The sequence below is a fragment of the Homo sapiens genome, chromosome 15 (assembly GCF_000001405.40).
Source record: "Homo sapiens chromosome 15, GRCh38.p14 Primary Assembly".
NCBI classification, from domain to species: domain Eukaryota; kingdom Metazoa; phylum Chordata; class Mammalia; order Primates; family Hominidae; genus Homo; species Homo sapiens.
The window spans coordinates 74,186,850-74,213,048 of record NC_000015.10 but is presented as its reverse complement, the minus strand read 5'-3'; the positions used below and the strand labels follow the sequence as shown (position 1 = coordinate 74,213,048).

At 54.8% G+C, this 26,199-nt stretch overlaps 2 protein-coding genes across 14 annotated transcripts in view, besides 12 other annotated features; one reads left to right on the top strand and one right to left on the bottom strand.

Annotated features, from left to right (window-relative positions):
• Positions 1-10,050, bottom strand: part of CCDC33 (coiled-coil domain containing 33) — a 133,474-nt gene extending 123,424 nt beyond the window's left edge. Inside the window, exons 1-3 of the mRNA XM_047433141.1 lie at positions 9,951-10,050; positions 3,515-3,661; positions 772-903 (exon numbers count right to left, since the gene is read on the bottom strand). The gene's annotated coding sequence lies outside the window, so the exon portion shown is untranslated. The remainder of the gene's footprint in view (positions 1-771; positions 904-3,514; positions 3,662-9,950) is intronic.
• Positions 199-739: an enhancer, noted in NCBI's record as "H3K27ac-H3K4me1 hESC enhancer chr15:74504651-74505191 (GRCh37/hg19 assembly coordinates)". NCBI's record gives its function as "activates a minimal SCP1, AML or CMV promoter by ChIP-STARR-seq in naive H9 embryonic stem cells {active_cell/tissue: H9 hESC(naive)}" and the evidence as "EXISTENCE:reporter gene assay evidence [ECO:0000049][PMID:30033119]".
• Positions 790-26,199, top strand: part of STRA6 (signaling receptor and transporter of retinol STRA6) — a 32,794-nt gene continuing 7,384 nt past the window's right edge. For 3 of the 13 annotated variants that reach the window (XR_931877.3, NM_001199042.2, XM_011521885.3), the window contains exons 1-12: positions 10,262-10,631; positions 10,767-10,894; positions 15,231-15,297; positions 15,626-15,711; positions 16,902-17,041; positions 17,374-17,397; positions 17,581-17,747; positions 19,127-19,249; positions 21,558-21,625; positions 21,806-21,882; positions 22,148-22,209; positions 23,772-23,934. Coding sequence is in view for 12 of the 13 variants with exons in the window: in NM_001199042.2 (NP_001185971.1) it covers positions 10,530-10,631; positions 10,767-10,894; positions 15,231-15,297; positions 15,626-15,711; positions 16,902-17,041; positions 17,374-17,397; positions 17,581-17,747; positions 19,127-19,249; positions 21,558-21,625; positions 21,806-21,882; positions 22,148-22,209; positions 23,772-23,934 (1,207 nt within the window). In the remaining variant the exon portion in view is untranslated. Of the gene's footprint in view, positions 923-3,343; positions 3,691-4,059; positions 4,250-4,994; positions 5,353-9,991; positions 10,047-10,261; positions 10,632-10,734; positions 10,895-15,230; positions 15,298-15,625; positions 15,712-16,901; positions 17,042-17,373; positions 18,663-19,126; positions 19,250-21,557; positions 21,626-21,805; positions 21,883-22,147; positions 22,210-23,771; positions 23,935-26,199 lie in introns of those variants that run through there. The other 10 variants (NM_001437994.1, XM_017022479.2, NM_001199040.2 and 7 more) reach the window with 10 other exon arrangements.
• Positions 3,900-4,561: an enhancer, noted in NCBI's record as "H3K27ac-H3K4me1 hESC enhancer chr15:74500829-74501490 (GRCh37/hg19 assembly coordinates)". NCBI's record gives its function as "activates a minimal SCP1, AML or CMV promoter by ChIP-STARR-seq in naive H9 embryonic stem cells {active_cell/tissue: H9 hESC(naive)}" and the evidence as "EXISTENCE:reporter gene assay evidence [ECO:0000049][PMID:30033119]".
• Positions 6,548-7,209: an enhancer, noted in NCBI's record as "H3K4me1 hESC enhancer chr15:74498181-74498842 (GRCh37/hg19 assembly coordinates)". NCBI's record gives its function as "activates a minimal SCP1, AML or CMV promoter by ChIP-STARR-seq in naive H9 embryonic stem cells {active_cell/tissue: H9 hESC(naive)}" and the evidence as "EXISTENCE:reporter gene assay evidence [ECO:0000049][PMID:30033119]".
• Positions 7,210-7,871: an enhancer, noted in NCBI's record as "H3K4me1 hESC enhancer chr15:74497519-74498180 (GRCh37/hg19 assembly coordinates)". NCBI's record gives its function as "activates a minimal SCP1, AML or CMV promoter by ChIP-STARR-seq in naive H9 embryonic stem cells {active_cell/tissue: H9 hESC(naive)}" and the evidence as "EXISTENCE:reporter gene assay evidence [ECO:0000049][PMID:30033119]".
• Positions 9,357-9,990: an enhancer, noted in NCBI's record as "H3K27ac-H3K4me1 hESC enhancer chr15:74495400-74496033 (GRCh37/hg19 assembly coordinates)". NCBI's record gives its function as "activates a minimal SCP1, AML or CMV promoter by ChIP-STARR-seq in primed H9 embryonic stem cells {active_cell/tissue: H9 hESC(primed)}" and the evidence as "EXISTENCE:reporter gene assay evidence [ECO:0000049][PMID:30033119]".
• Positions 9,357-10,101: a biological region, named in NCBI's record as "H3K27ac-H3K4me1 hESC enhancer GRCh37_chr15:74495400-74496033".
• Positions 9,932-10,101: an enhancer, noted in NCBI's record as "experimental_40904 CRE fragment used in MPRA reporter constructs". NCBI's record gives its function as "activates a minimal promoter by MPRAs in K562 erythroleukemia cells, with activity observed for both the introgressed and non-introgressed 15:74495374 variant alleles {active_cell/tissue: K562}" and the evidence as "EXISTENCE:reporter gene assay evidence [ECO:0000049][PMID:34662402]".
• Positions 11,894-12,527: an enhancer, noted in NCBI's record as "H3K4me1 hESC enhancer chr15:74492863-74493496 (GRCh37/hg19 assembly coordinates)". NCBI's record gives its function as "activates a minimal SCP1, AML or CMV promoter by ChIP-STARR-seq in naive H9 embryonic stem cells {active_cell/tissue: H9 hESC(naive)}" and the evidence as "EXISTENCE:reporter gene assay evidence [ECO:0000049][PMID:30033119]".
• Positions 12,401-12,460: an enhancer, noted in NCBI's record as "active region_9746". NCBI's record gives its function as "activates an Ori minimal core promoter by ATAC-STARR-seq in GM12878 lymphoblastoid cells {active_cell/tissue: GM12878}" and the evidence as "EXISTENCE:reporter gene assay evidence [ECO:0000049][PMID:35858748]".
• Positions 12,528-13,163: an enhancer, noted in NCBI's record as "H3K4me1 hESC enhancer chr15:74492227-74492862 (GRCh37/hg19 assembly coordinates)". NCBI's record gives its function as "activates a minimal SCP1, AML or CMV promoter by ChIP-STARR-seq in naive H9 embryonic stem cells {active_cell/tissue: H9 hESC(naive)}" and the evidence as "EXISTENCE:reporter gene assay evidence [ECO:0000049][PMID:30033119]".
• Positions 15,893-16,062: an enhancer, noted in NCBI's record as "experimental_40898 CRE fragment used in MPRA reporter constructs". NCBI's record gives its function as "activates a minimal promoter by MPRAs in K562 erythroleukemia cells, with activity observed for both the introgressed and non-introgressed 15:74489413 variant alleles {active_cell/tissue: K562}" and the evidence as "EXISTENCE:reporter gene assay evidence [ECO:0000049][PMID:34662402]".
• Positions 19,074-19,575: an enhancer, noted in NCBI's record as "H3K4me1 hESC enhancer chr15:74485815-74486316 (GRCh37/hg19 assembly coordinates)". NCBI's record gives its function as "activates a minimal SCP1, AML or CMV promoter by ChIP-STARR-seq in naive H9 embryonic stem cells {active_cell/tissue: H9 hESC(naive)}" and the evidence as "EXISTENCE:reporter gene assay evidence [ECO:0000049][PMID:30033119]".

The following is a 26,199-nucleotide window of genomic DNA, read 5'->3' as shown; positions in this document are numbered from 1 at the left end:
GAGACGGGGTTTCATAATGTCGGCCATGCTGGTCTTGAACTCCTGACCTCAAATGATACACCCGACTCGGCCTCCCAAAGTGCTGGGATTATAGGTGTGAGCCACCATGCCCCACCTAGGCCTGAGAATTTATTTGTGGCCAGTTTTTACACAGAAATTGGGGAAAGTTAGAGTTTGTAGGCTTTATGGCTAGCTTTGGGGAAAAGGGGTTTTGATTTCTATAACCCGCCTTGAGGAGGAGGGATTCTCTTTTCTATGTCCGTCCTTGGGGGAAAACGGGCCTGAGACACAGGAGGGCAGGAGAAGGCTAGAAGGTCACTTTTGCTTCTGAGGCTTTCATTTTCGGGTGTTATTTTCTGAGTTCCAACAGGCTGCATTTGTGGTCACTCAGCTAGTAAGTAGTAAAAACAAAATTAGAAGCCTCGTCTCTTCCTTCCACCGAGGGGCCTGGCTACTTTGAAGCTTTCTGCCATGAGTAGTAACTGTGATCCTGTCTGCCACGCCAGTGCCATTGGATGGCACTCCGTTCCTCTCTTGGCCTCCTGCTCCGGGCTCCAGCACCAAGCACTGTCAGGAAAGTCTTGGGTCATCCCTCAAGTCCTTTTGCTCTGACCTCCAGCTGAGCAGGAGCTGGAGGAGGGGAGCTAGGGCAGCATCAGTGATCCCTGGGCTTGCCCTGACAGCCCCCCTCTGCCAGACTTGCCTTGGAGGGGCTAAAGTTCTTGGTCTGGCGGGAGGGAGAAGGTAGCCTTACTGCTCAGCAGCACTGACCTTTGTCTTCATGTGCCCAGTTGCTTGGCTGCTCCACCAGGCTCTGAAGGCACAAACCCCTGAGACGGTGTCCAAGCCCAGGGCCCTGTAGACTCTGCGGATCCCGAGACCAGCGCCACTCATCCTGCAGCACTGGGGACAGACAGAGCAGGTAAGGCGGGAAAGAGGGCAGGAGATGGCAGGGGCAGCACTGAGTCAGCACAAGACAAGGCCCAAGATCAGAGATTTAGGCATGGCCCAGGCTAGCTTAGAAAAGGTACTGCCTAAAACCTTTAGGAGGAGAGACACAAACTTCACAGCCAGACTGGGGAGTGGGGAGCAAAACAAAGAGCAGGAGAGAGAAACAAAAAGGAAACAACAGAGAGAGTGATAGAGAGAAAACACAGAGTTAGACAGAGAAAGAAGGAGGAGGAGAGACAGAAGGAAAGTAGAGAGAGACAGAAGGAAAGGAGGGAGACTGAGTCAGACACAGAGAGGGTGAAACAGAGAGTGGCATACCAGGGACAGGCAGAGAGACTGATGGACAGGGGCAGAAAGGCAGACAGGAGGACAACCAGATAGAAAGAGAGAAAGGGGCTGAGCACCGTGACTCATACCTGTAATCCCAGCACTTTGGGAGGCCGAGGTGGGCAGATCACCTGAGGTTAGGAGTTCGAGACCAGCCTGACCAACATGGAGAAACCTCATCTCTACTAAAAATACAAAAAAATTCAGCCGGGCATGGTGGTGCATGCCTGTAATCCGAGCTACTCGGGAGGCCGAAGCAGGAGAATCGCTTGAACCCAGGAGGCGGAGGTTGCAGTGGACTGAGATAGCACCATTGCACTCCAGCCTGGGCAACAAGAGCCAAACTCCATCTCAAAAAAAAAAAAAAAAAAAAAAAAGCCAGGGGCAGATATTGACAGAGAGACCCAGCAGTAGGCAGGGGTTCTGCTGTGTTATCAGACAGAGTATTGAGAGGTGTGTCCCAATCCTGCAATTTGGCTTAATCAACACTTGGGGCCTTCCCTCAATCCCAGAAGGAGTCTCCCAGCCATAGAATGAAACGGAGTCCAAGCTCTAGGAAGGAATGTTCTTGGGGGAAAAAGCAGTGAGGTGTGTGTGTGTGTGTGTGTGTGTGTGTGCGTGTGCGTGCGTAGTGGTGGGGGGGAATCTCTGGCAAAACTTCCCCTAGGTCAGTCACTGACCCTGGCACATCATGTGGCCTCTCTGGGCTTAAGTTTCTTTTGGATGTGTTGGAGTCTGGGGTACAGCAGGAGTCTCCTTCAGCCTTATAATCTGGCCTTAGCTAAGGCTCTGTCTTTGCCAGTAACTTACTGCTCTATTCTACTTAACTCATGACTTCTATCTCATAGTCCAAGATGGCTGCCTGAGATCCAGCTATCACAACTGTTTTTCACCCAGCTAGAAGGAGGAGGGGGTAAAGAGAACACCTCTCTTTTTGAGAACACAACCTGGGAATTGTGCTCAACACTCTTTTTCCAAGTCACTGGCCAATACCTAGTCTAAGGGCTACATCTAGCTTCAAGGGAGACTGGGAAGTGTGCAATATTGGGCTGGGGACGGAATCAAATTCACACAGCTCAGTGATGCCTTCACAGCTCCTTACTCACAGCAGGCTTATTTAAAAAGAATTACACATGCAGTATGAGTTTTAAAATATGCATTTCAAACAAGTGAAAAATCCTGCTTCATTCTCCAAAATTCACCCCTCCCCCAAGTGTGACCACTGTGAACAGTTTGCTGTGTGTCTGCCAGATTCACTTTTTATGTGTACACACATACATACACATATGTCTACCTAGTTAAAGAAGCATAAAATGAGATCACGATTTATGTATTGTTCAGCAACTTGCTTTCTTGGTTACTGTTACTTGGCAATATGTCTTGGAGGTTCTGCCACGTCAGTCCAGAGAATTACCTCATTCTTTTTATCAGCAAAATAGTACTTCAGTGTGTCAACTTATCAGCATTGATGGATGGATATTGGGGTTGTTGCCAATTATTTTTGCCATTACAAACGGCCTTGGGAATTTTGTCTCCATATATATGCATGCAGGCATTCCTTGGGAATGGATTCCTAAAAGTGTGCCAAAGGTTAATTTTCTCTTTATGTGGGTTTAACCCTTTGGAACTAAAAATCCTCTTCTCCATGGACAAGATGGTGATCAGATCCAAGCTGGCTGGCTGCTTCCCTTTCTCGGCTTGAGCTGCTCTCTCTCTCCCTCTCTCCCTGCCTCTCCTGGGCAGGCCTGGCTCTGGCATTGTCCTTCTCTCTTCCAGGGTCTTTTACTATCATTGGAAGCCAATCTCACATACAAAAGCCTGTGGTCCCACCTTTTTATAGATGGCACTCCCTTTCTCCTTCAAGGAAGAGACTGCCTCTCCAGGGCCCTTCTCCTGAGAATTTAGGGCCCCGCTTCTTGGCCCGGCCTTTATCTACTCTCTCCCTGCCCTGCTTGCCACAGCACCTAGGTGGAGCACCCTCTGAGCACCATTTCCTTCCCCAGTCTTGTCTGCATCCCTGCAGGATACCCCCTCTAGGAAGGGGAGGGAGGGGTAGGGAGAGCCTGTGCTCAGGTGAGGGGGGATGCAGCCGACTGTCCAGCAGCGTTGGAGGTTGCAGGCATGTACTTGGGGTGAAGAGCAGGACTCCAGAACCCCAGCCTGTCTGTGAGAAGTGAGAAATAGAAGAGAAAGCTCCGAGGGGGCCTTTTTCACTTCCCCTGGGAATAGATCATACCTGGAATTCCAGCCCTGAAGCCCTGTGATGACTCCCCTTAGCTGTGGTCAGGGCCCTCAGCCCAGCTGGGCAGCAGCAGGATGCAGATCCGGTTATTAAGAGCCGAGCTGGTGGTTCCCCTCTGGCAATTCATCAGGCAGTGGCCCCCTGGGAGTGATGGATGGGGACAAATGGAGGTAAGTAGGGGGTTCCTCAGCTTCTCTAAGGCCACATCTGGGGAAACTCAGCCATCAAAGCCCTGTGCAGGCTTCTCCACTGAGGTGACTCTGAGGGCCAAGGAGATCAAGTTTCGAGCAAACGGTTTGGGGGTGTGGAGAGGCTATACCGCTGGAGACAAGCCGCCCTGTGTGTTGTGTGGGGCCCCAGCCCCTGCTCTGTGCCTGAGCTGGAGATGGGGGTGGGGTGGGTTCCTCTGATCCCGGAATCAAGGGCGGGAGGTCTGTGAGGGCAGGAGGAGGGGCAGAGCCAGACTGGAGAAGGGGGGAGCTGCCTTCCGGGAGGAGCAGATCAAACACCTTTTAAAGCAGGTGCTGGGGACACTTCTCAGGGCCAACTGCCGAGACCACACAACCAGCCACCCCTCTAGGATCCCAGCCCAGCTGGTGCTGGGCTCAGAGGAGAAGGCCCCGTGTTGGGAGCACCCTGCTTGCCTGGAGGGACAAGTTTCCGGGAGAGATCAATAAAGGAAAGGAAAGAGACAAGGAAGGGAGAGGTCAGGAGAGCGCTTGATTGGAGGTAGGCTGGAGCCAAGTCTGGGAGGCCAGGTGGGATTGGAACAGGTCGGGGAACAGCGAGAAGGCACATGGGGTGTGCGGTGGGAAGTGAGCAGGAGTCAGAGCCTAGGGGCAGGAAGTGAGCAGAGTGATGGGCTGGAGCAATTCTGATGAGTAAGTTTGGAGACCTGGGGTGGGCTGCCCTCAGGGGACACTGGGGGGCTAGCAGGAGCTCCAAAAGGCAGGAGACATTCGCAGAGTCCTGTCTGAGTTGGATCTGACTGGCTGTGGGCAAAAGGTTGGTGGAGAGCCCTGTCCTGTGGTCAGCAAGGGAACAAGGAGAGAGAAGTCAGGGGATCTGCCCAGCAGTCAATGTCCTCAGTGAGGAAGGAGGGCAGCACAAAGCCTACATCTCAAGGCCACACCACGGTGGCCAGCCCAGGGAGGAACGTGCTGGGAACGGAGAACGTGGGGCTCTTATAGCTGGGGAATCTTCATGGCCTTGTGTCTAGTCCTCCGAAGGCAGGAAGCCCTCTGTTGCATCTTGATGTTAACAGCCTCTTCTTGATTGCCTCCCTTGATGGGGGCCTCACTACTCTAGAAGGCTACCTTTGTTCTGAGCTGAAATCTGCCTCCCTCCTCCAGGTCAGTACTAGCCTAGCCCTCTGGGAGGGAAAGAACATGCTGCTCCCCTGGCACAGCCGGCTACCCTCCTCCTCCTCACCAGTGTCCACCCTCATACCAGAACAGCCTGGTCTAAATCCTTTATGTTATGATGATGCTGTTGGTGAGGGGGGCATGAGAATTGCAGGAAGGGCACATCAGATGGTGCTTCTGACCCTCCCACATGGCAGGGGAGGTAGGAGGTAGAGAGACAGGAGGTGGAGAGTCACCCATACTCTTCCTGCCGTGAGCACGGCAGCCGACGACACTGCCTTCCAGCCCACTGTGTGGAGTCAGACTTGGTCTGGTGCCAGAATTAAGCACGTATGTGTGCGAAGGGCAGTTGGATGTGTGTGTGAGTGTGCTGTGCCACTGAGGGCACACCCCAAGCTCACGGGCCCGCATGAGGTTGACTCTCTCGGCTGCTTATTCATGGACTCTCAAGGGGACTGGGCTGCACAGGTGGGCACAGTGGCCATCCCCCCACTCCTGGAACGCCTCTCTTGCGTGTTCTCTTCCGTGCTATCGAAGTTGGGGGTGTACCTGAGGTTTGAGTATTGTAAACTATTGGGTTTGCTGCTGGACTCAGAGTCAAGGGCTGAGATGGGAGGGTGGAGAGCAACGGGGGTCTCTGGCCTTTCTGCAAATGGTCACAGGCTTTTGAACATCTTGTTCCAATCTGTGGTTGATTTGCCAGAGTTTGAGTTTGCCAGAGTTTGAGTGTCCTGAGGTGTTGCAGTGGTTCTGATGTGTTACTGAAGGTCTGGGGCTTCTTGGGGGCAATACTGAGGTTGCAGGGCTTCTTATGGCATTACTGAAACTCAGAAATGTTGCTGAGATTCTGGAGGTTCTCTGGGAGATCTGGGAGTCCTTGAGGGGATGTTTCTGAGGTTCTGGGGATGCTGCTGGCCTTCCCCATTCCTTCTGGCCTGCTGTTAGCTTCTTCTAAGCTTGGCACTTTGCCCTTTGAGGATTTGATAATCACAGGCTCCCGCAGAAATGCACGTGGGCCTCTGCTCCTGGATGCAAAAATTCCTCAGGTTTAATCAACTTGAACAAAAACATGAGAGGAAGGAAGCCCTGTCCCAAGGCCTTCATGGGCCAGCTCCAACCCGAGGGGCATAGCAGCTCTGTGCCAAGCCCAAATGGCAGATGGCCTTCACTGGCTCAGAGTCCAGAAGCTTTTTAGGACCTCCTCCCATAGTGAGCAGGGCTTAGCCACCCGCCAATCTGTGCCCAGTTGGGAGACCTGCTGGTTTGAGCTGCTCCTTGGATACTGGCATCAGCCTCATCTGAGTGCCCACGTGGGTTCATGCTGGTCACAGCGAGGGAGCCCTGCCCTGACCCTTATGCTACTCTCTCCTTGTCTCTCAGACTTCCCTTCTTGGCACTCCTGAGACACGTGTCAATTCATTCTTGTTACCATTCCAGATCTTCCATGGCTTCAGGGCCCTGCTCCAGGCCCCCTCCTCCAGGGAGCCTGCAAGACTGCCCAAGCCATCTCCTCCTTTCCCTCCCCGCTCCTCAGGCTTTGGCAGTTCTGTCTTTTGAGCACTTTTGCTCTCCTGAGGGCAGGGCTGGGCCTTCCTGGGTATCAGTGCCCCTTTAAAGCCAGCTCCAGAGGGCAGGCCCTTGACTCTGCTGCCCAGGCCTTTGGAGAAATTCTTCAGGGGCACATCATTACCATCCTTCTCTTCCTAACACTTCTTGCCTCCTGCCGTCTTCCCAGGTAGCATCTTTCTTAACAGCTCAGAGCCGAGCCTCCCATTTTGCAGATGGGAGCTCCAAGCGATTCTAGCCCCAAGCTGAGGAGGTACCTTGGGCTCAAGAAGTGGGCTCACCTTGCAGCTTGAGCCACGCGGCCACCCGCTATCCATGGATCTTCAACCCAGCCTGCCCACCCTGCCCGCACCAGACTGGGCAGGGCAGCTGGGGGCCAGGAGGGGGCAGGTGGGAGGCAATGGGGGCACCTAGGAAGTCACAACCACTCTCTGTGACCTTCTTGTTACAACTGGTTACTGGTGTGCAGGGACGGGGGCCTTGTGGGGAGAGTTCACAACTGGAGAATCTCCAGGCCGGATTTGAGAGAGGACAGTGAGACCCACAGAGAGGAAAAGACTCACTCAAGGCCACATAGCCAGTCCCAGGGTTCAAATCCGGCTAGGTGGCCTCCCCAACCAGGCGTTCTCCACTGCCATGCAGAAACCTGGCCCTTACCTCTGGACCTTCCAGCTATGCCCTGGCCAAAGTACCAGGCACAAGGCTGCGCTCTGCTTGCTAGGCCCCCACCAGGGGAAAAGGACGAAGCTCACCATTTCCTCCCCTCTGCTTAGGGCCTCCCTTGGTGGCCTCTGTGTCTTCCCATGAGGAGGGAGGTGGTATTGTTGGCACTGGGCTCTCCGTGGGGGGTGGGGAAGGGACTGTGCCTGGGCTCAGCTGGGGTCCCTTTCTGCCAGCCTGGCTGCAGCCCCTGGGCAGATGGAGGCTCCTTCAGGCAACCTGATTGCCTTTCTTCAGTGCCCGATATGGTTTGGATGTGTGTGCCCTCCAAATCTCATGTTGAAATGTGACCCCAGTGTTGGAAGTGAGGCCTGGTGTGTGGTGTTTGGGTCATTGCGGGGTATCCCTCCTGAATGGCTTGGTGCCCTCCCTGTGGTAATGAGTGAGTTCTCGCTCTATCAGTTCATGTGAGAGCTGGCTATTTGTAAGTGCCTGGCATCTCTCCTGCTCCCTCTCTTGCCAAGTGTCCTGCCTGACCCCCCTTCACCTTCCATCACGATTGTGGGTTTCCTGAGGCCCTCCCCAGAAGCTGATGCTGGTGCCGTGCTGCTTCCTGCACAGCCTGCAGAACTGTGAGCCACATAAACCCCCTTTCCTTCTAAGTTACCCAGAGTCAGGTTTTCCTTCACAGCAATGCGAAACAGATGAACACAGTGCCCAACTGGTACCTCCCTCTCTCCCCTCTGGTATCAGCAACACACCACCTTCTCAGTGAGGCCTTCCCTGACCACCTTGTCTCAAACAGCCAACTCCCGTCTCTCTTCTCTTCCCCCACTTCACTTCCCCTCTGGTGTTGTCTCCCCTAAGCCCTACCATACATCAGGTTCCATTTGGTGCAGGCCTTGACTCATCTTGCTCGCTGCCAAACCAGCCTGGGGAAGGCAGAGTTAGGCTTCCTCCAAGGAAGAGGATGGTTTCTTTTCTTTCTTTCTTTCTTTTTTTTTGAGATGGAGTTTGCCTCTTTTGTCCAGGCTGGAGTGCAGTGGCACGATCTTGGCTCACTGCAACCTCTGCCCCCTGGGTTCAAGCGATTCTCCTGCCTCAGCCTCCCTAGTAGCTGGGATTACAGGTGTGCGCCACCACGTCCGGCTAATTTTTTGTATTTTTAGTAGAGATGGGATTTTGCCTTGTTGGCCAGGCTGGGTCTCTAACTCCTGACCTCAGGTGATCCACCTGCCTCGGCCTCCCAAAGTGCTAGGATTACAAGTGTAAGCCACCACACCTGGCCAAAGGGCATGGTTTCTGATAGGCAAGGATGTCTAACCCCTGACACTGCTGCCTTGTAGAGGGAGTGGGCTCCCTGTCTGGAACTGGACTCCAATGGTTGGAGGTGGATTTAAAATCAGATGGGAGTTGGCTGCTCCCTAAGGTAACAGTCTGAGACCCCTGAGCAGGGAAGGGCTTGCTGGCCTCTGGTGTGGGCACGGGGACTCTGGGAAGCCCAGCTGGTGAACCTCAGGGCACAGCAGCCGCCTGTATAGGACAGGCCCACAAATGAATACTGGCCGCCAGAACAAGCAATGGCTTTGCCAAGCTCAATTTCTGAAGTCCCTCTTACCCAAGGGCCAGGCGCTGAGCATCAGGGGAAGGCAGGAGGAGGGGTGGGAGGGATAGAGTCCCGCCCTCCGGGAGCTCACACTCGCGCCTGGAAGGCAAGTTTCCCGCATCCCTGGGATCAGAAGGGCCAGTGTGGGCTCCTCATTACATCAAATAAAGCTCGGGTTCAGCTCTGAGTCAGCAGATGCTGATATCTCTGTGGGATGGTGGAGAGCAACAGAGCCCTCTTCCTGCAAGAAGGGCCATTTGGGAAGAAGGGGGAGGAACTCAGGCTAGCAGGGTGCTCAGCCCCTAATCCTGCCCTGCAGGCTTGGGAATTTGAAAGAGAGCCTCCAGGATTTCAAGCCCTGTCTACTCTGAGACTTCACCCGTGCTGTTTCCTCTGTGGGGAACACACTTTCCCCCACCCCCATCCCCATCCTGAGCCTGCCACCCTCTGCTCAGCGGACTTTCCCCTGCCCTTCAGATCACCACGGAAAGGTTCTTTTCTTCAGGAATCTCCCCCCATCCCCAAATGCTCTTGGACTAAATTTGGTTTCCCATGGTACAGACCAGCTCAACCTGTGATTCCCTTTGTAACCCTCAGACTTTGGAGGGGATTTAGTTATCTGGCTGTGTCCCCGCTGAACTGTCATCTCTCCTGCCTCAGGGCTCAGAACAGTGCTGGCACATAGTGTGTGTTCAATAAATTTAAGTTAAAAGACTAAATGAATAATGTCTTCTTAAAAAAGCTGTTGAATGACTGCCTTAGCTGACAGGGTCCAAGCCGAAGCCCCTTGTAGGGTATTGGAAGGACAGAGACCCTCACAGTTTTAGGGGCCTAAACCTCCACCAGGGACAGTGGCCTGAGAACTGCTTTCTACCTTCTTCTGCCTCTCGCCCCTTCCTCCAGGCTGGGGCAGGGTCCTGCTCCTGGGGAGGGAGAATGCGGAGGAGCCCTCCTCCCTGGCCCAGACCTTCCCTTGCTCACCCTCAACCTCACTCCAGGAGGAGCAGGAGGCAGGCGGGGCTCCTCTTGCCTACCCGTGGGTCTGGTTTGTGTTTAAAGAGCTAATTTCCGCCTTGTGGGGGTGAGTTATCTCCTTGTGAAATCAACTTGTAGGAACAAAAAGGGTTTACCAATGAGACACATGTTGCCTCCTTCATGGAAACCCTAGGAGAAGAAACGGACAGATTCCCCTTCCCTGCCTCCGCCCCAGCCCAGCCCCAGCGGTCCGTCTCACTCGGTTGTTGCTGTAATGCTGGTCTCCTGTCTGTGTGCGGCACTGCAGATGTGGCGGGCAGGGGCTTGGGAGCTCTGGGGCAGGCGCTGAAGGCAGGTATGTGTGTGAAGTCAGGTGCGGGGGTGGGGGTGGCTCCTGGCCACACCCTTGCAGGGCTCAGGCCGCCAATGGTGCTGGGGCCTCCTCCCCCAGGAGGGGGGCTTTGTCAAGGATTATGGTGTATTTCCATCACCGAGGCCCAAAGGGGCCAGAAAGGGGCAGGCTGAGGCTGGGGGAGGGGCTCAAGGGAGCCCAGCTGGGAGGGCCCAGGCAGGCAGTGCGGAGCTGGCCGTGGGCTGCCTACCCTTTCATCTCTGCAACTCCTTCCTCCCTGGGCCTCCCTTCTGGTGTGTCTGTGGGTCTGTCTAGGTGGGCTTGGGAAAGGGGAAGGAAGGGGCGTCTCTTTAGGCAGCTCAGACTGGACAAGCCTTCTTTGAAAATGGTCCTTTGAACACACGCCTGCTGGTGGTTGGTCAGACAGATGCGCCAGCGGGAGCCCCGGGGCCCCAAGGGGACAGCTATCTCTGCAGGACCAGTGCGATGGGCGGGAAGGGAGGAGGGGACACGAGAGGCCCTGTCCTCTTCCCGTGCCAGCTTGCTCAGGCCCTCAGTCCCAGACGGGCTTTTCCCAGAGAGCTAAAAGTAAGAAAGTAACCTTCAGGATTAAAGAGAAATGTTTCTTTGTTTGGGTTTTCCGTCTTTCTTTCTTTTTTTTTCTCTTTTAAGCCTCTTTTCACATCTGTAGTGGCTTTTTTTTTCTCTCGCCTGGGGTCAAAGGAGAAGGGCCAGAGAATGTCGTCCCAGCCAGCAGGGAACCAGACCTCCCCCGGGGCCACAGAGGACTACTCCTATGGCAGCTGGTACATCGATGAGCCCCAGGGGGGCGAGGAGCTCCAGCCAGAGGGGTAAGTGTGGAACCACCCCACCTCACTCTGTCAGCCATCAGAATGGGGTGATGGCAGAGGTTGCAACTGGCCAGGGAGCAGCTCCTGGGCAGGGGCTGCTAGGTCTGGCTCTGCCACTCATTTGCTGTGTGACCTTGGGCAAGTCACAGCCTCTCTGGGGTTCATTCAGTCTCTGCCTCTGTTACATGAGAACAACATCCCTCACCCTGCTGTTAAGACACCTAAGGCTGGTCACCTTAGGTATGATGTGTGACGTGTTAAAAATACAGATGATTCAGATCTGCAGGGATGGCTCCCTGGGTGATTCTGGCCCATAGCCAGGATGGAGAAGCTGCTGAGAGCAGTTGAGGCAAGCAGACCTCCCTTCAAGGGGTTATTGGTCTCTGTGGTGAGCATTTGGGTGTGGTGTTTCCAAGTGTCAAGTTCTCTGGGCAGGCTGGGGGATTCGGGGAAGGCAGAGAACCAAAGGGAGAAAGCCTGGTGAGAAGTCACTGAGGAAACAAGCACCCTTGTTGTCTTTGGATGGTCTCAGAGGATGAGGAGAGCCTATTCCCTTTAGCAGAAGTGCTCAGGCCAGCCCAGGTGAGGGTGGGAGCAGGAAGGCAGCCCGCCCCAGGGTGGCCTGAGAACCCAGCCACAGCTGCTTTGCCTGGGTCCATTCTACCGGGGTTTAGTCTGGGCACCCTGGTGGAGGAGCTGGGCCCCTTCTGTGTCCCCCACCTCCTGCCAGGATGTCTTGCCTGTGTAGGACCCAGAGCCAGTTCTCCCCTGTTGTTCCCAGGCCTGGCCCCATCCCTTATCTCCCTGCTCTGTCTGACGGTTTGGAGAAGTAGAAAGGTGAGGCTGGGGGTTGCCGAGCCAGATGTGTGCACATCTGTTCTCCATCAAAACCTGAAACTTGAGAAGGAAAAATCCTTGCGTGCCTCCCCAGGGGCTGGGGCTGCGGCCTGGCTGGGCTTGGGTCATCCAGCAGGGACAGAGGCTCCACCCAGGCCTCGGGGAAGGAGCTGTTGTTTGGAGGACTCAGGGTTCTGACCACCTGGAAAATAGCCTGCAGTCAGCAAGGGCGTGCTCCCCACTCATCTTGCCTGACTGACCGAGAGCCTGTGGGCTCCACATATCCTGCTGTGTATGTGTGGCCTGCGAGAGACCAGAATGAGGACAGGCCCAGGAACCCATGAGGATGGTTTCTGACCTAGGTGAAGGCTCTAATCTGAAGCTGTGTCCTTGGGAGCCTCAGGGCCTGGGCACTGGCTGGGGGCCAGGTGCCTGTAAATGTAGCTGTGGTCTATAGCTGTTGTCTCAGAATAAAGTTGTGTGTATGTCAGGCACTGGGTGATGGGGAGTCCAGTCCCTCATGTGGGTGACATCTAGAAGATTCAGCTTCTTTCTCCCACTGCAGGGCATGACATCCATAAGAATAAAGAGATTTGTTTGAATCTACTTACTTAGCCAAACCAATTGAGCTGCCTGCCATCCCCCTGCCCTCAAAGTGGGAGCAGAAAATTGGGAGCTCAGGGGAATCCCAAGGAAATGAACTTGGGTTCACCTCTGTCTGTGTGAGTCAGACACCCTGGGGACATGTTGCATCAGAGCTTTGAAGAACTCCGGAGTGCCCAGTGCCCCAGCACTCTCAGGCTGGAGTTGGGGTGGATGAACACTGATGGCAGTGGAGTCAGCCACAGAAATGTCCTAAAATCCAGAACATTCAATGGCTCAAACACCCTCAGTGGCTTCCTGGGGCCTCCCATGCTTGCTGTAACCTCATCTCACCTGACCTCTGGGCTGCAATCAAACTGGAAGGCCTGCCCAGCCCCAGCCACGCTGCCTGTCGCCTGCCTCTCTGCTTCCTCATGCACTTCCCTCCACCTGGAGCTGCCTCTCCCCTTCTTTGCCTAAAGAGATGCTAACCAACTTTTATTTATTTATTTTTTGAGATGGAGTCTCGCTCTTGTTGCCCGGGTTGGAGTGCAGTGGTGCGATCTTGGCTCACTGCAACCTCCGCTTCCCCAGTTCAAGTGATTCTCCTGCCTCAGCCTCCCGAGTAGCTGGGATTACAGGTGCGTGCCACCACGCCCAGCTAATTTTTTTTGTATTTTTAGTGGAGACAGGGTTTCATCATGTTGGCCAGGCTGGTCTCAAACTCTTGACCTTGGTTGATCTGCCTGCCTCAGTCTCCCAAAGTGCTGGGATTATAGGCGTGAGCCACTGCTCCCAGCCACTAACCATTTTTTAAACTCCAATCAGATACCACCTCCTTTTGCCCAAAGTTCTCCCTCCTCTGCATCCTTCAGCACCTGCTGTGCCTGTCCCAGGATCAAGCTCACCACCCTCTCCAAGGTCTTTATGTCTGTGCCATCCTGCCTGTCCCATGGCACAAAAAGTGGGGCCACAAGCCACTAGCCAAATATTTGCTCATTTCTATGCCACCTGAGATCCCCATCTGACCCCTCACACTGAGCTGAGAGGTCAGATGGGGACCTCAGGTGATACAGAAAGGGCCAGAGGCTCCCCCAGGCAGGGCCCTGGAGGGCATTTCTGGGGGTAGGGGTGGTTTGGGGTAAGGTCCATAGGAAAATGGTCAAACTACTCCAGGGACAGTTTTCCAAGTCCCTGCCGGGCCCAGGTGTAAAGGTGGAGCGGGACCTAGTCATGCGGGGAGATGCCGGCTGAGAGGGAGGGCTGCCCTACGCACCAGAGTGAGAGGCCTTGGAGCTGGAGGTGGGGAGCTGACACTGGAGTCAGTGTGGCTGCTACTCACGATCCCAGTTCTACTTTGGGAAGAGGCTGGTCTCCTGGCCAAGAAGCTGCCCAGAGCTGACTTACTCTGCCTCTCCACCAAGTGACTGGTTTCTTTCCCACCGCTCACCCGCTGGGATTTCCTGAGAGAAAGCGAGCAGGACAGACCGAGCTGACCCAGCAGAGCATCCCAGGGCTCTGCACTCCCCTGGATAATGCAGCCTTGATGCCTCTCTTCATACAGTGGAGGGCGTTTTGGTGGGCGGCTAAGCCCTCTGTGCAGGCAGGGACTGGCGGCAGCCCAGGCTCCATCTCAGGCCCTCGCCCACCAGACCCCACTGGCCTCACCCATGCTGCCACCCTCCCTCTGGCTCTCCCAGGCCCAAGCTGGGAAAACCCGGAGCTCTACTGCTCACCAGGGACCCAGTCCTGCCTACTCTCCCAGGGCCAGGGCCAGCCCTGAGCTCAGGACTCCTGCCTCACTCCCTTTCTCCACCACATGATTCTGCTGGGGAAGCGGAGGGTTTCATTGTCCTCAGTGACCCCTATCTCCACTGTGGGTTTACCTCTGCGCTCAGCCAGGGTGAGTGCAGGACCATTGCCAGGCCATAGGGAGCCTCTGTGGAATTAGAGAAAGGGATCCCCAGTTAGGTGCATTCAGCTCAGCAGGTGCTGGGTTTGGTGAGCAGGGTGGCCTGCTCGTTCCCTTGGCTGAGCATCTTTGTGCAGTGGGCAACCTGCATGGCTGTCCATGGAGGCTCTCAATGAGAGGGAAGCAGGAAAAGAGAGGGACCAGGGGAGATCATTTTAGTCACAGACCAACCTCAGATGGCAGTGAGTAGAGGGCGAATCACAGGGCCAAACCCTTGACTGCTTGACCCAGGTAGTGTGCTCAACTGCAGTTCTGAGAAGACGTCTGTGAGACCAGGAGCAGTCAGAGGGGCTCCCTGGAGAGGGGAGGCCTTGAAGGACAGGAAGCATCTGGGTGAGCAAGAATAAGTGCTCAGCCGGGCACAGTGGCTCACACCTGTAATCCCAGCACTTTGGGAGGCTGAGGCATGAGGATTGCTTGAGCTCAGAAATCCAAGACCAGCCTGGGCGACATGGTGAGGCCCTGTCTCTACTAAAAATACAGAAAAAAAAATGCCAGGCATGGTGGTGCACACCTGTGGTCCCAGCTACTCATGAGGCTGAGGTGGGAGGATCTTTTGAGCCCAGGAGGCTGAGGCTGCAGTAAGCCGAGATCGAGCCACTGCACTCCAGCCTGGGTGACAGAGCAAGACCCTGTCCCTCCAGAAAAAAAAAAAAGAGAATAAGTGATCAGGCCGAGCCGGTCTACTCTGCTTCCCCTGGGAGCTTCCCATGTCCTTTAGTCTTATAACCCCAGAGCTTGGCATGGGGCTGGCACATCACAGGGACACGAGGGCCCCAGAATGACCCTGAGAAGGTGGGACTGGGAAGGCTTGTGTAGGAGGGATCAGAGGGTTGAGGGAGGTAGTGGGTAAAGCCTCAGTGTGAACAGTCTTGAACCCCAGACCCATCTGCACACCCAGGGGGGCCTGACGCAGGCCTGAGCCAGCCTTCATTTGCTCTGCAGGGAAGTGCCCTCCTGCCACACCAGCATACCACCCGGCCTGTACCACGCCTGCCTGGCCTCGCTGTCAGTGAGTCCAACCCAAGTTGAACCTGGCTTGCAAGCTGCTGCCAGCCTGGGCAGTGGGACCTGTGTTCCCCACTGGGGCTGGTGAAGGGGGGCCCTGGAAGATCCTGGGTGGGGGGAGCTATCTGGGAGTTCTCCCAGCTTGGAGGCCCAAACCAGGATGCAAGTCCAACCTTCCAGATGTCTGTCACCCCTTGACCAGTCCCCAAGATGTCACATGAGTGTGCACTGGGCAGGTAGGGGATATCCTGGGGCCTGAGTCCAAGCCCTCAAACTCAGACCCTCAGGGGAGGCCTGGGCACCCCAAGCCCTCCTCTGCACTCTCCTTTCAGATCCTTGTGCTGCTGCTCCTGGCCATGCTGGTGAGGCGCCGCCAGCTCTGGCCTGACTGTGTGCGTGGCAGGCCCGGCCTGCCCAGGTTTGTACCATGGCCTGGGCACCCCCACTCAGGGGACCCAGCTGACAGGGTCCCTCTGGGAGGGTGGGTGATTTGTTAGGTACCTAAAAGGCAGCTCTGGCTTTAATGACATCCCTATCGCCCTCAGCCTGGAGCTTTCCTCACCCCCACCTAGGTCTCCAGGTTTAGTCAGGACCCCCAGAGGAAGGGGGAGGGACTCGCTCAAGCCCGCCTGGGAGAAAGGACTCCAACCCAGACCCTAGGGAAACAAGCCTGACAGGACCCAGCGTCAGAGTGTACCTTCTCAGGCAGCCCTCCATGTGTGGATTGACGTGACCATCCCAATGCCATCTTGACCGTCATCTTCCCTGAGGGTATCACCTGGACCCTAATGCTTGAAGGCAGATTTATGGGGACTGACATCTAGCCCCTATAGCTGGAGCTTTCTTCTCCTATCTCCTTCAGCCCTGTGACTCCAGAGCCTGGACAGGCATGATCCTGAGGAGATGGGGCTGGGCAAGCTAGTGTGCGAGAGACCAAAGGGTTGGGGCAGGTGATGGGTGGCTCCTTGGTGTAGACAGCTTCACATCCCAGACCCAGACTGTGCACCGAGGCAGGTCTTGCTGTGCTGGTTTTGTGGGGAACCAGCCTGGGGTCTCTGGTTGGCCCCAGAAAGAGCTTGCCCTGGCTGGGGCAGTGTTTGAGGGAGAATGAACCTCTCAGAGCATGAATGCAAGCTGCAGTGCAGAAGCTGTGGGTCTGAGTGGCTTGCCCTGAGCCCAGAAGGGTGATGCCTGGGACAGCTATGCCCGCTGTCTGCCCTCTGCCCCGGGTCCACACCCAGCCCAGGGCGGCGGCTGTTGTACAAGGATGTTGTGACTCGCTGAGTTCTCTGAAGGTTTGCCAGCTCAGACAGACCAATTAGTGTGGAGGTGGCTGCTTCCTGGAGCTTCCAGGGTGGGCGGAGGAGCAGTCTTAGGGCTTCTTCCCACTGTATGTGTGTCCCAAGTCCCTTTGGCACGGGGCCCAGAGCTTGGTAGATAAGAGGCACTCCACAAATATCTATGGAATGAATGAATGAAGGGGCCTTATTCCCCCATCTAGAAAGTGGGACTGACTCCACCTCCTTGATTTATGGAATACAGCTGGGAGGTAATGGGGGTGCAGGGGCTGAGCAACTCCCTCCTGCCCTGTCCTTGCCTCTGTGCTAGCCCTGTGGATTTCTTGGCTGGGGACAGGCCCCGGGCAGTGCCTGCTGCTGTTTTCATGGTCCTCCTGAGCTCCCTGTGTTTGCTGCTCCCCGACGAGGACGCATTGCCCTTCCTGACTCTCGCCTCAGCACCCAGCCAAGGTACCCACTGACCCCCAGGCCCTGGGGTTGGTGTGATGGGATGGGGTAGGGTGGGGTCTCGGAGTTTTAAGCTTGGCTCAAGGAGATGAGAGTAACAGGAACAGCTGTCAATGAGATGGGCTGCTATCCTGAGACGTGACCTTTTTAGACCATCCAGTCTTTACAACGATGCTACAAAGTATGCATATTAGCCCCATTTTGCAATGGAGGAACTGAGAGCCAGGGAAGTAGTATCTTAAATTGAGTATTTGCTCAGGCACCATGCTAAGCATTATATATCCACCTTCTCATTTTGCCCTTGCTAATATACTGTGATTATTTTCATTTTACAGATGGGAAAACTGAGGCTCCAAGAGGTAACTTGCCCAAGATCACAGAGTTGAGACTAGTCAGAGCCTGGATTTGAACCTAGTGTTCTTGCCCACTGAACGTGCTGAAGGGCTTGGAAGCTGGAGACCGAAGAGAGGCCTGGGTGGGCTCACTGCAGGCCCCATGTCTGCCCCTCCAGCATGGGTCTCTCTGCTTGTTTCACCTTCCAGGGGCCTGGAAGATACTGGGACTGTTCTATTATGCTGCCCTCTACTACCCTCTGGCTGCCTGTGCCACGGCTGGCCACACAGCTGCACACCTGCTCGGCAGCACGCTGTCCTGGGCCCACCTTGGGGTCCAGGTCTGGCAGAGGGCAGAGTGTCCCCAGGTGCCCAAGGTAACCGCTGATCACAATGGCCTAGGGCAGAGGGGCGCACAGAGCAACCTACTCAAACCACAGTGCCTCCTTTGAGCTCTGATTCTATGATGGGCCGCCCTGCAGCCTTCCATTGTGCATGGGATTCCATGCCTTCAAACATGTGCCCCTTCCAAGCTTGGCTGCTCTGCAGGAGAGGCAGGGAACAAGGTGGCTGGGCCCAGCCCTCAGGAACTTTAAGTCTAGGAGGTGGCGGAGAAGGGGAAGTGGGCAGAGTAGGGGGAAGAGAAAGCCTGAAATGGCCCCCACCCCCAATGCCTGTGTTAGTGATCCCCCAGCTTCCCTTTGGTCAGGCTGGAGAGGGAATGGGAGTGAAGCTTGATGGAGGCCGGCAAGTGCGAAGTCAGGGATGGTCTAAGAGGGCTGAGAGGAGAATTCCGGAACCTCAGGACCTTGCTCACTGGCTGCTGGCTGGGGCTGTGAAGCTGTCCAGTCTAGAACTCAAAGAGTGATGGTACAGGCTTTAGAGCCAGACAACCTGAGTGTGAATCCAGCTTCACCACTTCATTCATTCACTCACCCATTCATTCAACAACATATTTGAAGCACATACTTTGTACCAGGGACATTTCCAGGCACTGGACTACAGCTATGAACAAGACAAACAGTCCCTAGCCTCCCAAGAGCCGTCACTTCAGAAGGGCAGACATGACACGCAAACAAAATGATGCCAGGTGGTACCAAGTGCCTTGGGGAAACAGTGCCACCTTTCTGAGACCGTTTCTCCATCCGTCCATGGAGCTGATAACACCAGTCCCTCAGGGTGGAGGTGAAGACTAAGAGGTTGCTTTGAGAGGGGGAACTTGGTGGCTTTTTTTCACCACCTAGAACCTGGCACATACTAAGCTCTCAATAAAAGTATATTGAACCAACAAATAAATGAATGAGTATACAAAAAGCCCACCCCCAGGAAGGCCTCAGCCCTGAGGAGTAGGGCATAGACTTTCCTGATGCTCAGGTTGAAAACTATATGTAGGCAAAGGCAGGCTTTCGTGTGATTTTCAGAACTGTTCCTAATGCTCCGGGAACACAGAAACAGAAAGAGGTGTCCTTTCCAGTGGGGGGCAGGAGGGAATCAAGTGATCTCCTCCTCTTGGCTCCTCTCAGGCCCGTGGGGATCCAGGAGCCTGGGGGAGGGGTGAGCATCTCTGCAGGGCTCGAGAAGGGGAAGTGGGCAGGTTTGCGCTGGGTGGCAGGTTGGGAACCATAGAGCTGAAGCCTTCCCATGGCCCCCCAGACCACCCTCAGGGCCCAGTGTGAGGTGGGAAGGGCAACGGATTCTGGTTCTTGGCTGGGGGAAGAAGGTGGAAAGTAGTCTGTCTGGGTGTTTGTCTGTCCAGATCTACAAGTACTACTCCCTGCTGGCCTCCCTGCCTCTCCTGCTGGGCCTCGGATTCCTGAGCCTTTGGTACCCTGTGCAGCTGGTGAGAAGCTTCAGCCGTAGGACAGGAGCAGGCTCCAAGGTAAAGGGGCAGGCCTGGGATGAGCTCTTCCTCAGCACCCAAGACAGCCCTACTCCCCCGTATCTGTGGTCCCAGATACATGGCCGTGCTTGATGTAGGGCCCAGCACAGAATAGATGCTCAGAAAATGTTTGCTGAGTGACTGCTTAGTCCTCCCTCCCTAGGCAAAAGCTGGACTGGGCCCTTGACTGGCACCCAGGATACCCGCGGCACTGGGCTGTGTGAATAGTAGGGACTTAACAAAGCAGAACTGAGTCAGAAGCCAGGAGAGTCATATCTCTGTCTGTGAAACACTGAGATCTGGCTGGAGAGACAGCCTGGAGCCTTGTGCCTAATCCGAGTTCTGCACATAATGAGATGATTCAGGAAGCACCCAGGGCAGAACTCCATTATGAGTCAACTCTAGGTTGGATGTGGTTGAATAATTTCAGATAAAGGGGAGGGCTGAGAGGGCTTCCTAGAGGAGGTAGACTCTACAAGGGCCTGAAGGACAGGGAGATCTAGAGTGATGAGAGAATAAGGAGCAGGCATTGTAGGCACGGGAAAGAGCATGAGTAAAGGGGAAGAGATAGTTTTGTGTCTGTTTTGTTCATTATATTTGCAGCACTGGGTGGGTCTTGGCCCTTAATAGATACTCAGCAAATATTTTTGAATTTTTGAATAGATGGATGAATGGATGGATGGATCGAAGGAAAGATGTATGGAAGGAAGGATGGATGGATGAATGCATCATGGTAAAAGAGAATTCTTAGAAGATACTTCAATCTCACTAAAAAGCCTTCTAAGCACCTACCATATGTCAGGCCCCGGGCTCAGTGCTGTGGACTTGGAGCTGATGGACTTGTGTCTGATCTCCAGGAGCTCCCAGTGTGGTGGGGGAGACAGATGCGGCACAAAACACCTGCAGTGCAATGTGAAACCTGCACCGGGTGTTGGGACTGTGGTGCAGGGGGCGGGGTCCACTACTTCTTTCTGGTGAGAGAGGAGGAGGAAGAAAGCTCTGCAGAGACCCTCAAAGGGGAAAGAAGAACAGACTCAGGAGAAAGTCTTAAGACATAGAGGCCAAAGGGCGTGGCTTCTCTTCAGACAGGGCAGGGGAAGGAAAGGCTTGATGGGAGGCACCTGGCCAGCCAGCAGGTAGGTGGTGGTGCCAGCTGCTGGCCCAGGGAAGGTGGAGGGAGGAGCAGGTGCTCCTGGGATGATGCTTGGTCCTGAGGGTGTACTGCTCAAAGTCTGGAGCTCAGCAGAGGGGCTGGGACCGGGTGTTAACTCGGCAAGGTCAGACTGAATCCAGAGAGTGAGTGAGATCCCTAGGCAGGATGGAGAACCCCGGGTCCCTTTTGGGCTACTCTGGTCCGAGAAGGCCCACGGACTCCAGACTCGGCTCCCACGTGGCAGGCAGGGAGTTCTGAGCGCTTGTAGCTCCTGCCTATTGAGGCCAACACCCCTCGAGGAAGCCTGTGTCCCCTCCTGTTTACAGCTGGCTCTGAAAAGGGAGCGGCCCCCCGGGACGACACAGTGCCTGAGGCATGCCCCTTTACCTTCTCTTCCAGGGTTTCCACCACCCCATCTCTCTCTCCATTGCCAGCCTTTCCTCCCAGGCTTGAGAGGTGTACAATCCTCTTTGGACTTTGGTCAAAGAGGTTTAAGTCTCAAAGGACCCCCATCAAGCTTTGAGCTGACCCACTCCTGCCCGGGATCCCAGGGTTGTCATGGCAACAAGTGACAACAGCCTGTGTTCTCCCAGTGATTCCAGGCAGGGGCTCACCCCATCTTCCCATGGGCCTCTGCTACTTCACAGGCAGCTTAAGGCCTGGAATGTGGCTTAGACAAATCTGGTCACCCTTGTGATCTCCCTTGCGCAGTGGCAGCAGGAGAAGCCTGAGGGTGTCTGACCTGGAATGACCCTCTTCTGTGTCCTGGTCTAGGATGTGCCCGTGGGACACAAGCTTCCCTTTGCCCCAGTTTCAGCTAGCAGAGGCCAGAGGGCTAGGGGTGGGAAGAAACGGTGAAGAGATGTGACTGAGTAAAGCAGGCGAGAGTTGGAGACAGATCTTAGGAAGAACTTCCTGGCATTGATGGTTCTTTGATAGGAGACTGGCCTTGTATTTGTGAGAGAGAAAAGGGAAGCTTTGGAGGGCACGGACCTCATCCCCACAGGTCAGCCCCATCCACACTCACCACCACCGCCATGGCCAACAGGTTTTTATGGAGCACCTGCTTGGTGAACACTCTAGTTCCCTGAGCCAGGGACCCACGAATGGGTCGAGGCAGATCTCATCTGCTTGTTCAATTGTCTGTCTCCACAGGGGCTGCAGAGCAGCTACTCTGAGGAATATCTGAGGAACCTCCTTTGCAGGAAGAAGCTGGGAAGCAGGTGGGGTCTCTGACACACCCTTTGTGGGCCAATGGATTGGGCTGGTTAGCAGCCGTGCTTGGGAAGCTGGCACTGGGCAGCATGGCAGGGGCAGAGGGGAAGAATGACCAGCCTCTGGGGCTGGCCCTCAGGGAATGGGCTTCCCCTGAGGACCCCGCACCTGCCTGGGTCTTTCTGCAGCTACCACACCTCCAAGCATGGCTTCCTGTCCTGGGCCCGCGTCTGCTTGAGACACTGCATCTACACTCCACAGCCAGGTATGGGGTTGGGAGCTGAGGCCGAGCGTGACAGGGGACGTTACCCTCCCTTGCACAGAATGGCTGCAGTGGAGGACTGGCTCCTGCTCCCCAGAATCCTTGTCATCAAGAGGGACAACTACCAGCTTGGGACAGCGGGAAGACCCTGGCCTGGCCTTGGTCATTTAGGGTCCTGCTGGCCCTTTTCCTGGGCCCCTTGGGAGGGAGGAGGGCTCCCGGGCCTGAGTGGTGCTGTTCACCATACTCCTTCCTTTGAGGACTACAGGATTCCATCTCCCGCTGAAGCTGGTGCTTTCAGCTACACTGACAGGGACGGCCATTTACCAGGTATGTCCCTCACCCTGTACTGCCATCTGCCTCTGGAGCCCTGCCCTCAACCCCCAAGCCTGGAGCAGTTCCGGCCCAACCCAGCTCTCCAGGTGCTCCATCCAGAACCCTGACCAGGTGCTGCAGGCCATCTTGGGAGTTCTGGCCTACCCAGAAGGGCCGGGGTGTTCACTCTTGGACTCATGAAGTGACTCGGAGCATTAATTTTGGAGGCCACATAAACACGAATTTAAATCCTAGCTCCACTATTTACCTCCTGTGTGGCCTTGGGCAAGTTATATAACCTCTCTGAACCTGTTAGCTCATCTGTAAAAAGGAGAAAATAGAATAATTTTCCTCTTTGAGTAATTGGGAAGATTTAGCAAGACAACATGTTTGATAAACTCTGCCTCACCACCTCCGAAAAAAAAAAAACCCCGAAAAAACCAACAACAACAATTAAAATCCTGGGAGATGGGTATGATTATTCTCCACTTTACAGATGGGGAGAATGGAAGCTTGGAGAGGTGAATTTGACTTGGCCAAGTTTCTGCACAGCTAATATCTCAGCGTAGCCTAAGTTTGAATCCAAGTCTGTCCAGCTTTAATTCCTGTGCTCATTTACTTTCACAACATAGAAAAACCAGAAATTTTACATTCCAAAGTTTAGATAGATAGATGATGGGTAAATAGATAGAGGTGCAGACACAGTCATCCCTCAGTATCTGAGGTGGGTTGGTTCCAGGAACACCCCTCCATACCAAAATCCAAAGGCTCAAATTTCTGATATACGATGGTGTAGTATTTGCATATAGCCTACACACATTCTCCAGTATACCTCGTTATCTCTAAAGTACTTATAATATCGAACATAAGTGCTATGTAAACAGTTGTCCTATGTCTGGGTGTGGTGGCTCACACCTGTAATCCCAGCACTTTGGGAGGCTGAGGCGGGCGGATCACAATGTCAAGAGATTGAGACCATCCCAGCCAATGTAGTGAAACCCTGTCTCTACTAAAAATATAAAAATTAGCTGGCGGTGGTGGCGCGGGCCTGTAGTCCCAGCTACTCAGGAGGCTGAGGCAGGAGAATTGCTTGAACCTGGGAGGTGGAGGTTGCAGTGAGCCGAGATCGCGCCACTGCACTCCAGCCTGGCCACAGAGCAAGACTCCATCTCAAAAAAAAAAAAAAAAGAAGAAGTTGTCCTACTGTATTATTTTTTATTTGTATTATTTGTATTGAATTGTTATTTTTTATTGAGGGTTTTTCCCCAAATATTTTTGATCTGCGCTTGATTGAATTGGTTGGTTGTGGATGTGGAACCCACAGATACGCAGGGCTGACTATATGAAGTTACGGTGCTCGAAGGCATGCCTTTGGCCTATTAGGCTGTGATTGCACCTGTCTGTAATGTCCTCATTTAGAGGCGTGAGATCCCTGCTCTAAGGGGCAGATAAGAACACTGATGGGCAATGGGCATGTGGCTGGGGCCTGTGTGCTGCCAGTTTCTTCCCCAGCGTCTCCCCTGTTAGCACAGAAAACCCTTTCCTGGGATGGGGCCCTCACTGTGGGGCTCTTCCAGGTGGCCCTGCTGCTGCTGGTGGGCGTGGTACCCACTATCCAGAAGGTGAGGGCAGGGGTCACCACGGATGTCTCCTACCTGCTGGCCGGCTTTGGAATCGTGCTCTCCGAGGACAAGCAGGAGGTGGTGGAGCTGGTGAAGCACCATCTGTGGGCTCTGGAAGGTGAGGCCTCCAGGGAGCCCCTGAGGGCTGCAGTGGGGAATGAAAGCGGGGAGACCCAAGGTCTATGCCCTAGTCAGCCATGGACACACTGGGGGCCCTTGGACACATTCCTTCCTCTCTCTGGGTCTCGATTGCCTCATCTCCAAATTGTGGCAGTTGGCGCTTCCAGTTCTGAGCTTCCATGAAACCTGAAGGGACATCTCAGCAGCTCCTGTCCCTTGCCTGCTTCTGTGGCATCTTCCCCCACCACCCCCAGTGTCTCTGACCAACTATCCAGGCATGGAGATGAGGAAGGCCATGGGATGGGGGAGCTGAGGGTGGGGAAGGAGGGAAGAGACGGCGAAGGGAGATGGTGAGGATTTCTGAGCGAATCCTCGTGGCAGGGGTCTGGCGTTGGGCAGGGCACAGGCTTTCTCTTCCCCACTCCCTGTCTTTTGGGGCCGTCTCCTTTCTCCTTCCCTCCTCTGACAATGAGCTCCTGAACCAGGGAACCATCTTGGCTTCCCCTTCTGTGGTCTGATGCCTCCTGCAGCCACCTACTTACTCTGCCTCCTGGGCGCTCCCAACAGCGCTGTGGAGGGGACTGAGAAGTGTCCCCACTTGACACATGGGGAAGGATTTGCCTGAGGCCATCCAGCAGGGCAGAGTGCAGCCAAGAGAACGCAGGGCTCCTGAAGCCTAGGCGGGGGCCTTCTCCATCACCTTGGGACAAAGCCCGGTGCTGAGGACTCAGGAGGCATGCGCCTTCTGCTTACTTGGGGACCCCAGGCTGGGACGGATGGGCCCCCGGCTTCTGAGGAGTAACATGTGGTCAGAGCGTGGGCTGCCAGCGTTGCAGGTGGAGGTGTAGCTGCTCCGCAGCTGTACCTGACCATTAACATCATCCTTATCCTACAGACCTGGGCATGCTGGTCATGGCGGGGCAGGGAGTGGGGGGTGGGCAGAGGTGCACGGAGTGACCACTTCCTTCCCTGACCACCTCCACCATCTCCGTGAGCACCTCAGTTCCCGTACTAGAGGCTGCCCTGGAACTGCTGCTGAGGGCAACAAACTGGACAGGTGACAAGTTCCGGGTGAGCTGAAAATGTCCTCTCCCAGGAGATTTTCTGAGCTGGTTGCAATCTGGTTCATAGGCAGGTGCAGACATGGTCCAGGTCAGCCCACAACCAACCTCAGACCCTTGCTCACAGTGACCCTGTAGGTCAGCATCATTGATCCCAGCTCACAGGGCAGGACATTGAGGCTCAAAGACAAAATGAGACACATCCAGGGCAAAGGACTCTGCTTCCACTCATCATGTCTTATATTTTTAATTGCATGTTGCAGTTTCCAAGCTCAAAGGCTCCCACTTTGAATCTTCTTGGGCCAAACAGAGCAACAGTTACTCTTTAAATTTGCAGATGAGGAATACTGAGGCCCAGGAGGATTACAGATACGGCCAAAGCCATCCCGCAACCTGGGCTCCAGTGTCCCTTGGTCTGTCCTTCGCCTAAGGAGCTAATGTCTTCTGAGCTCAGAGCTTCTGTTAGGACTGCCACCCAGCACTTGGACCATAAGCCTGGCATCACTCACAGAGAGCTCAGACTGAGTCAGGCAAACTAGATTAGAATCTCTGTTCCATCACTTACAAGCTGAGTGACCTTGGGCAAAGTGCATTACCTCTCCTGACCTCAATTTCCCCAACTGCAAAATGAGTGCTGGAGTGAAAAAGGAACACTTGCCCTTGAGGCCCTCAATCACATGAGGGAAGACAGATCTATCCCCCAAAGCAGGGCCCAGAAGAAGGCAGGCACAGGATCCCAGAGGTGGCAAAGAGCAGGAAGATTGTGTGAGTGCTGGGGTTTGGGGGTGCCCAAGTTGGGAACCAGTGGAGGGAGAGAGAGGTAGGAGGTAGATGGATGGAGATCAAAGGCCAGGCCTGTGGCCAAGGGGGCTGCTAACCCTTCAACCCTGTGTTAGCCTGTACACTCACCAGGCCAGGCTCAGCAGGCGGGCTGTTCACCTCCTGGCAGCAAATGGTCCAGAATGTGCCCTCGCTGCAGCCCAGCTGGCTCCAGAAGGGGGACCACAGAGGCTGGAGCTATGCATGCACAGTGCTTTCTCCCAACCTTGCTTCTGAGAAAAGTGTCCCTGCGAGGGCCCTGGAGGAGGGAGCTAGGGACCAGCAGAAGGGCCTAGGTTTCTGTAGCATCATTTTTAGCCCTGGCTGAATCTGGGAAGCACCTGGTGGCTTTAACATTCCCGTTGCTCAAGCCCTGTGCCAGA